We start from the raw sequence: 10,271 nt of genomic DNA, 5'->3' as shown, positions 1-10,271 counted from the left end.
TTGGAAACAAGCCAAATGTCCATAAATAGTAGAAGCAATAACTTTCGATATATCCCCAGAATGAAAAAGGAATGAAAAAGAACAAATGGAAAAGAGCAAATTATCGCTACACCAAATAATTTGAACAAATGTTATAAGCATAATATTTACCAAAATAAGTCACAGACTAAACAGTACATCAGTATCATTTTCTCTAGTACAAGTTCAAAAACAGGCAGAACTAATTTCTGATGATATGAATATGGATAATCGTCCGGTTTGTTGGATAGAATGATAACCTGTGGGTTAGTGTGGGATTTTAGTATGTTGATAATGCTCTCTTTCCTAATCTGTGTGGTGGTTACATGGGTATGTTATCTTAGTGAAAAATCATCAGGATTTGTGCCCAGAATCTCTGCATTTTTCTGCATGTAAGTATGCATCGTTAAAAAATGTTAAATAAGCAATTATTGTTTTAAAGAAGGAAGAGAGAAAGAAAGGAAAGAAGAGAGAGTGAGAAGGAAAGAAGAGGAGAAAAAGAAGAAACAAATGAAAGAAAGAAAATAGTGTGGTTACATTTCATTACCTCTCATCAAACTGCTGGAACTTCCACAAACTCACTGTGGAGACCTCATCGTCAACTATGTTCAATTCTGCATTGAGTTTTCACTTACTCTTTGTGGAAGTGTACGGCAGTGTGTGCCACGTGGGTCTCCTCTCTCAGGCTCTTCTGCCTTTAGCCATCCTTTCTGGTGGAGGTAACGGATGCATCAGACCAAGGCCAGGTGTTTAAAATTAGTTCCTTCTCATCTTCTCTAGAAAAGTCATGTCTGGGAAAGAATACATGCTTAATGTTAAACCTGTCACAGTCCTTAATAAACCAGCCTAATCTTAGAGGGGAATAATCAGGAGGAAGGGACATTAGAGTTAGACCACCTGAGGAATTGTTGTGCAAAGTAGGAAAATTTGGTCTTAAAAAAAATAATAACAAAATATACATGTGCTAGGAACCCTGGATATTTATCTCCTTTCCTATGCCTCTCACTGCCCCGTATGTGGAAACTCCTACAGCAGATGTCCTTGACAGTTGTAAACCAGAGTGTTGTATAATAATACTCTAAGTTACTTTGATGATATTTGATGAATTTGACATTCTAAATTAGTGGAACCTAAATCTTGCTGTTATCAGAATCACTGAGGGGACTTGTTTAAAATATATTCTTCAAAACTTATCCTAGACTTACTGATTCAGAAACTCTGGAGATCAATAATGTTTAACAATTTCCTAAGTCATTCAAGTAGCATAGCACAGAGGTTAAGACTACCTATTTAGAAAGATCAGACCTCTGTGGGAATCCCAGCTTTTTCATCATATTTTTGTTGTGTAGAATTGTGCAATTTATTTAGCTTTCTAAGTCCCACCTTCCTCATTAGTAACATGGAGATTATAACTGGATTTATCTTTTAGCACTGCTTTGAGTTTTAAATGAAGTGCTGAGCCCAGCACTGTGTTTGACACATACAAAGTGCTCAGAAATGTCATGCAATATGTCCAGGACTGATGCAAAATCAGTAAGCATTTGGAAACCACTCTTTGAAAAGACTTCATCTCCCTCATTTATGCAGGGGATGTCAGCACAGCAATTACCGACTTCCACTGTGCATATCAGCAAATTCACACATTCGTGGTGTGTGCTGGGTTCACTAACACTATCACACTTTAGGGGCATTTTTCTAATAGGTAATTATTTACCTATTTTACGATAAACCAAATCAGGTAAAGATTCATATCTATTTAGCCTACCATTATATCAGATATACTGTATTTCACTTTGCATCTAGCATAGTGCCTGACATGTAGCAGGCATGCAAAAATAATATTGCATGAATGAATACATGAATTAATTAATGATTGAAGCATGGCCAGTTATACAGCAGTACTGCTCAGATGTACATAGTCATGCTGGTTTAGAGCACAAGAAAGAAAACAGGAAGTGTTCAATCAGAATTTTCTCTGGGGATCTGAAGACTCTTAGTGTTGTCAGGTTTTGCAAATGAAAATATGGGATGCCCAGTTAAATTTGAATTTCAGATAAGCAACAGATAATTTTAAGTATAAATATGTCCCATGCAATATTTTGGATATACTTATACTGAAAAATATTCATTGTTTATCAGAAATTTAAATTCAGCTGTTGCCTCTGGGTTTTATGTGGTAACTCTAAAGACCAATCTGGTTCAGTGTTAGAAATCAGAAACTATCAAATATGGCAGGGGTTGGTAGTTAAAATTAAAAAAAAACCTCGGTATTGTATAAAGAACTGATTAACTCATGTGTGTATATATGTGTGTATGTGTGTGTGAGAGAGAGAGAGAGGGAGAGATGAAAATTTTTCAGTAAGAATTTGCTTCTGTTAAAGCCTTATATGGCAATATGTAAAAAGTTAGAATTTCAACCTTTGTGAATAGTTTCTTGACAGCTCTATATGACAGAAGAGTTCCAAATTCTTAGCCAATCCTTTGTTATGCTGGTGTCTCTAACTAAAACTGAGGTGCATGTTTCAGCTAACAAGCAATTAGCCTTCATAAGAAATGTGTCAACAAATCATTGACTCATGAACTTTCTAATTGTTCTCACCTATGTTTTGATCTAAGCTTATAATGCTGCTATAAAGGAGATTCAAATTCTGGCTAGGGGACTAAATATATTATCTTAAGGTCCTTTTTCTAGCCATGTATACATTCATATATGTTTATATGCATTCATGTATAATCACATATTTCACACAAATTCTTGAGAAATAGACTGTCCAGAGAATAGTGCTCAACAAGATGTTTAGATGGGAGGCTCCTGAGATTCAGAATGATATCTAGGCTACTCTGACCTACAATGACCATTTTATTTAATGTTACCTTGTGGCTTTCCTACTCCCTGCCCTTCTAATCCCACTTACCCTGCTCTACTTTATTCCTCTTCTTTATTTATTTTTATTTTTATTTATTTTTTTTTTTGAGACAGAGTCTTGCTCTGTCACCTAGGCTAGAGTGCAGTGGTGCCATCTTGGCTCAATGCAACCTCCACCTCCTGGGTTCAAGCGATTCTCCTGCCTCAGTCTCCCGAGTAGCTGGGATTACAGGCACATGCCACCACGCCCAGCTAATTTTTGTATTTTTAGTAAAGGCGGGGTCTCACCATGTTGGTCAGGCTGGTCTCAAACTCCTGACCTCGTGATCCACCCACCTTGGCCTCCCAAAGTACCGGGATTACAGGCGTGAGCTACCACGCCTGGACTCCCTTTTTTATTTTAATAATAGTACATGTGACCTTGTAGCCTATTAAAAAATTTACTAATTTATTACATGTATTTTTTTTATCTCCCCTAAGAAAATAAGCTTATCTTCAATAGATGGCCAGTTTAAGCAAAAGTCCTGTCTTGAGTGGAAAGCAAAATAGTTGATAACAATTAAGAATATTAAAGACCTCCCATTGCCTCATCCAATATCATCCCTATCGCCCATGTCAGAAGTACTGAAATTGACTTGGTCCTGCATTCCTCTGATGAAAAGTACCACCTCTGCATTTCTACTCCCTGCTCTCATGAATAATTCAGGAGGAGGTAACATCAGATATGGAATAAGTATGCATTTCAGTGACCTGTGTTTCAACTCTTGTTCTTGCACAAAACAGTTCTGCAGTCTCAAGCCAATCACAGCAGGGCTCATTTTCACATGTATGCAAAGAAGGGATCGAGCCAATTGAACTTGAAGATACCCTCTATCTCAAAAGGTACTCTGATTTAAAGTCCTTTAAACTCACATCAATGTTACAGTTACTAGAAGTGAAAGTCTGAAATAAAATGGTGGGAAGAAGCAGGGCAATTGAAATAGTGGCATAACACAGGACAAGGGAAAGTGGGACACATTGCAAAATCTCGTTGATTTTGCCGTTTGCAGGGGGCTCACTCTTCAGATAATTGAATCTAGAAGTAGAAAAAATAGAGAACTATATTCCCAAACAGGAGGAGAAGCAAATATCGATTTAATTTGTTATAATTACTTGAACACACAATTTTGTACAGTCAATTACTTCACATCTTATGATCTAACAGTGCCTTGTTTATAATAATGACAATAATAAATTTTAGCACTTATTGAAAACAAACTGTGTGCCAGACACTGGACTAATCACTATATAAGAAGTATGTAAGTTGAAACTCAGAATGGTTCCTGAGAGGGGTTAAGTGTGATCCCCATTTCACAGATGAAGAAACTGAGACTTGGGTAGTTAACTAATGTGCCCATTTTTATGTGGCTTACAAAACAAAGCTGTGGCCGGGAGCGGTGGCTCACACCTGTAATCCCAGCACTTTGGGAGCCCGAGGTGGGTGGATTACGAGGTCAGGAGATTGAGACCATCCTGGTTAACACAGTGAAACCCCGTCTCTACTAAAAATACAAAAAATTAGCCGGGTGTGGTGGCACACACCTGTAGTCCCAGCTACTTAGGAGGCTAAGGTTGGAGAATAGTTTGAACACAGGAGGCGGAGGTTGCAGTGAGCCAAGATTGTGCCACTCCAGCCTGGTGACAGAGTGAGACTCCATCTCAAAAAAAAAAAAAGAAAGGCTGGAAATTAAACCCAGGCGGGAGTTACCAGTGCATGCCTGCACACTTCACCTGCTCTGAAATGCTTTCTCTCAACTTTAGCATTAATCACTCTGTCTAATGTGTAACTATGTTGACTCTATTTCCATCACTACCTTCAACCTTGCCTACCCTTAGTCCAAAATATTGTCATGGTATATCCATGCTGAAGGCAGAGTGTGTCTGTTATGATAATCAGAGAACAAACGGTATATATTTTTATTTTTTTACCTGCATCTTGATAGTTGGCACAATTTGGAAAACAAAATATTATTTCGTTTCCCTAGTTGTGCCAAACAATGTTCAAATGACAACTAAGAATTTAGTAACGTGCATTACATTATTTAAGTGGCGAGGTTTCAAGTTCTTAAATGAGGGAGGAAGTTTGGTGATAATAAAAGTCTAAATGTTGGCATAGTCTACAGATACATGAGAAAAGGATTTAAATCATCATAAAAACATTTATTTAACATTAAAATTGATTTTAAAGACCACTAAGAGAAAAATTCTTCATTTAAAAAAATCCATTCATTCTGTAAATGGAGGCTAGATCCTGCAAGTTCAAATGTGAATGACAAAAATTTAGTATTTATCCAGAGGTCTCAATCCTTTCTTCTGCTGAAATGCATAATGTGTTTGTATGTGGAGGGGGTGAACATAAAATGAACACAGGTTTATAGCTCTGCATTAAAGCACAGATCTAAGACAACTTCAAGGCCTATGGACCCAAGAAGTAGAGCATTTATCCCAGAATTGTGAAGGGAGAAGACTGGTCAGGAAGGACATCCAACATGAAATAATAGATCTGAGTTAAGACCTGAGAAGAAAGTAATAGGAAGTATAAGGGATAAAGAATGGTAGGTTTTGCCTATCAAAAGGTATCCTCCCCGACCACCCCCATTTTTTTTTTCTCAGAGAGTTGGAGCCTATTTATGTTCAAAAAGATACAAGTGTAAGTCTACCAGGGGAAGGATGACAGTGTGAAAAAGGTGTTTTCCTACTTGCTTAGAGGAAGATACTTACAAAAATACCCTATCTTTTCTACATGGAAAAATGTTTCTTGGAGCTGCTGCAGCTATCTTGTGACCAAGAGACAAGGGCCACAAGAGTTATGAAGCCAAAATTCGCAGTACTTCTTGAGTTACTGCATCAGTGCTAACAAACATTCACTTTCAAACACATCTGTAAGTAAGAAAAATGAAGCTCCATTTGTTTAAGTCGCTGTTCAATGGGATTTCTGTTGCTTGTGGCTAACAAGTAACAAAATTGAATTTGATTGGAAAATATTTCCAATCAAAAGAGGGGTTAAAGGCTATAGAGCACTGTGGGTAAAAGGCTAGAGCTAAAAAAGACAGTAGTATATTTCTGGATGAAAAAGAATTTTCAGAGTAATTGGAATGATCATAGACAATTAAAAGAGAGTGACAAGAAAAGAGAGAGACCTCAGATTGCCTAGCTTTCATTGTCATTAATTCAGCAAGCATTAAAGGAGCAAGTGTTTTCTGTTGGGTACTGTTCTGTACACTGGGGAACAGCCGAAATAAAATAGATAACAATCCCTGTTTCCAGAGAGTTTGCATTCTAGGAGTTTAGGTAGTGTTGGGCTTGGTCTGTTTTTAAATAAAATGGTCAAGGAAGACCTCATTGAGAAGGTGTACATTGTGCAAAGACCTGAAGGTAATAGGAGAGCAGGCCATGTGAATATCTAGCAGAAGAGCCTTCTACACAGAGGGCACAGCAACAGCAGAAACCTCAGACAGCTTGTCCCTGGGACTTTTAAGAAATGATGAGAGCAGTGTGGCTGCAGAAGAGTAAGCCAGAGGGAGAGTCCTAAAAGACAAACTCAGAGAGGTAGTGGGTAGGGGGCATTGTATAGGGCCCTGTTAGCCATTGAAAGGCTTTGGCTTTTTACTTCAAATGAACTGCAAATATGTTGGAGGCTTTGCTCAGAGGAGCAGCACGATGTGTTATGTCTCACCAGATTACACCTGTTAAGAACAGACATAGAAGAATGGGGACAGAAGTAGAGAGACCAGTTGAGAAGCAATTGCAATTACGTAGGAAAGAGATCATAGTGGCTTGGACAAGGCTGAGCTTGGTGAATTTGGTAAGAAGTGTTTGAAATATCTCATTCTTGATGATTGAATTTCCAGGTTTACTTTGGATTGAAAGTGAACTATAAGAAAGAGAAGAGTCAAAACTAATTCTAAAGGACATGCGCTAAACAACTGAAAAGACAGATTTGTAAATTATTAAGATGAGAAACACTGTGGATAAGAAGAGTTTTGTTTTGGATCTATCTTATTGAGGTATAATTGATATACCAAAATTTACACATATTTAGTGTATAATATCTTGATAAGTATGGATATATACATATACCCTGATACCATCTTGAAATGTTTAGATATCTAAGTGTAAATGTCAAATACATGGGTAGATAAAACAGCCTGGTTAAGAGAGTCTGGGGCTGGAGGTAGAAATGTGAGTGATCTTCTAAGTATAAATGTTATTTAAATACATGGACTGGAATAAATCATTAGGAGAGTGAGTAATGTGGCTCGTTGCAGTACTAAGGGATCTCAGAGATGAAGGAAAGCAAGCAAAGGAGACTGAGAAGGAGCAACCTGGTGGAAAAGACAAGATTTATGGTAGACTGGATGTTGAGTGAAGAATTTCAGGAAGGAGAGGGTTAATAGTAAGTTCACATCACACCTTGAGTTAGTTAAGGCTAATATAATATCTCACATCAACTAATTCTAACTTCAAATATGAGAGAAATATTGAAGTATGATCACCAATGCCAGTTGCTTCAATCAGACTCAGTGAATCACTATTTTCTATTATTTGGCAGAATGGAGAGAAAGCATCTACATTCTGGAAGTGAGAAAGTGGCAGCACTGTCAGGGCTAGCGGATGTTCAGGTAATGGTAATTTTTTCCTTCTTTTCTTTTAAAGATATAACAGACATTCTGTAATGACAGAGGCTGCTTTTCCAGCCAGTTGACGAGCTAAGATTGCTCAGGAAGCATACCAGCAGGATAAAAAGATGCTAGCGAGTCTTTATCATATAACCTCTTATGTCAAGTGATGTGAGAAATTCCTCAGAACCAGGAGAGGAAAAAACGAGAGAAAGTTAAAAGTCTAAGCTTCGTGCATCGTTAATGAACAAGAAGGGAGAGAAACCCATCTCTCCCCGGTATGAAGAAATTATGGAGCAAGGAACTCTTATCTTACCACTCTCTGTGCTTCATAAAATATGGGTAACTTTTGGCAACCAGTCAAAATTAAAGAGAAAATATGCAAAACACACACGTAGTCTTGTGCACATGCAGAGTGAGATAGAAGAAACCAGAGCTTCAAGGTTGATTTGCTGAGGATGAGAAGGTAAGCTATTATACATACATACATATATATAAAATTCTGGATGTAGACAGCAAATGTCAAACACATTTTCTACACTGACTATCTTAGTTTGTACCTTTACTTGCTACTTTTTCCTTCTAAAGAATGAAATTACCTTTTCTCAACTGTTTTTGTATTCAATACCTGTGAATTTTGGCCCCAATAACATACAGAAAAGGACTGTGTACTAAACTTCCCTTAATTAAAAAAGTCCTTTTATTTTTAAAAATAGAGAAATCAATTGTGTAAATATTTAAACACTTCAAGATAATTTACAATTTTTAAATATTCCAAAGCACATTAAAAGCATCCAGGAATACATAAGGCTTGACAAAATAATTATGTGTGCTTACAGTGAATCATTAAAGTAGGTCTCTTAAGGACTTCTTTTTTTCTTTGAGACGGAGTTTTGCTTTTCTTGCCTAGGCTGGAGTGCAATGGCATGATCTTGGCTCACTGCAACCTCTGCCTCCCGGGTTCAAGTGGTTCTCCTGCCTCAGCCTCCCAAGTAGCTGGGATTAAAGGCATGCGCCACCACACCCAGCTAATTTTGTATTTGTAGTAGAGAAGGGGTTTCTCCATGTTGGTCAGGCTGGTCTCGAACTCCCAACCTCAGGTGATCCGCCCGCCTGGGCCTCCCAAAGTGCTGGGATTACAGGTCTGAGCCACAGCGCCAGGCCTAGGTCTCTTAAGGACTTCTATCCCAGCATACTTTCTTAGGCTATGTAAGCAAAGAGCCCATAGAAGGTTATATCTGGAAGGGGCTGTGATGACACAAATAATTTTGTTAAGCATAACATAAATAAAATAATTTTGCCTGCTAAAAATGATTTTACTTATGCTGTTTCTTGTCATTATTGCCATAATGGTCTTAATGACACAATCTTATTGTACTTTTCCAAATTCTGTGTAAATTAAAGAGATTTGGCCCAGGTTGTGAGTTCCTGTTAGGTGTGGAAGGAATGTGTTTCAGCTGTGATCTGTATTTCTACTGGGTTAATAACTACTCTCAAAAAAACACCAATTTTTATTGCTGGAATAAAACCTTAGAAATCATATCATCCAAACTTTTTTTTTTTAACTTAGGAGGAAACTACAGTTCAATGAGGTTAAATGACTTGCCTAAAGGCACACAGAATGTTTAGCAAAATCTAGAGTTTCACTTACTGAGAGTAAAAGCAATTTCTTCAGACAAGTCCTGCTTTGAGTGTGATTTCAGTCTAGCTGTGTCTTTACGGTTTGCCAAGAAGCCAGCCTGGTATCTTTTAACATCTTTTTCTCTAGCCATGATGCTAACCACTTAGGTTTGTCGAGAGCTTTATAGAATTTCCATTTGCAGAAACACTCTGTCATCTATTTTATAACATGATCTCCTACGTGAGTATGAACAGAAGAAATCAGCCAGATCACAGCTAGGTAAATTAAAGCTCAAGTTTTGAGTTTTGTCCTAAGCTTGTGAGCTAGGGAACCTGAAACTCAAGTTTAGAGTCTTGTTTTGTGTGGCCCAGCCAGTCTGAGATGGAGCTGGACTAAATCTAGACACATGGGTCTGAAAGAAGTAGGATTACCTGGGTCTGAAACCAGTCCCCAATTTGTTGTTGACAGTATTCAGATACCGTAGACAATATTACCCTCCCATACCCTGGGGTTTAAGGTCTTCTGAATCTACTCAATTCCTTGCCAAGGTTACTGAACGGAAAAAAAAAAAAAAAAAAAAAAAAGAGAAAACCCAGGTCTATGTTTATCTTTGTTATTTATTTGCATATGATGCCTGAGCTTCATCCAAATTATGCAAATAAAAGTTTATTTTTCCCCCTAAAGCTTCCTATCTTTAAAAGAGCTACTAAATAAGATGGTTTATTTCACATGATTGATTACAGGAATCCTGCTCATATATCCAAGAGCTGACATTTTAAATCACGTCTTCTTTTCAATTGAAGGGAATGAAATGATTTTCATATCTTGACATGATTGATTATTTGGAAGCTGAAGCCAAAAAAAATCTATAAGAGTTCAATCTATAGCTCCCACCAACTGATAGCATATTATCAAGCCTTATTAAAATCATGCATGACTTGCAACTGCAGCTTTATATCTGACAGTAAGCAAATATAATGGCCTTCTTCCTTCAGATTGCACTTTTGTATTAATGTGGTGGCTGATGTATCTATTTATGAAAAGATTATAGGTGATGTAAATTTTACCTTTACAGATAAATGGTGATTCTTTTGTATTTAATCTCCAA

The 10,271-nt window shown here is 37.4% G+C and overlaps 1 long non-coding RNA gene across 1 annotated transcript in view; it reads right to left on the bottom strand.

Annotated features, from left to right (window-relative positions):
- Window positions 1-571: 571 nt before the first annotated feature.
- The window catches only part of LOC105376247 (uncharacterized), a 109,985-nt gene continuing 100,285 nt past the window's right edge, over window positions 572-10,271 (bottom strand). The window contains exon 4 of the long non-coding RNA XR_930293.3: window positions 572-809. This is a non-coding gene — a long non-coding RNA (uncharacterized LOC105376247). The remainder of the gene's footprint in view (window positions 810-10,271) is intronic.

This window comes from Homo sapiens, chromosome 9, assembly GCF_000001405.40.
Source record: "Homo sapiens chromosome 9, GRCh38.p14 Primary Assembly".
NCBI lineage: Eukaryota > Metazoa > Chordata > Mammalia > Primates > Hominidae > Homo > Homo sapiens.
Note: the sequence above shows the minus strand (reverse complement) of the source record. Positions and strands in the feature narration are given on the sequence as shown.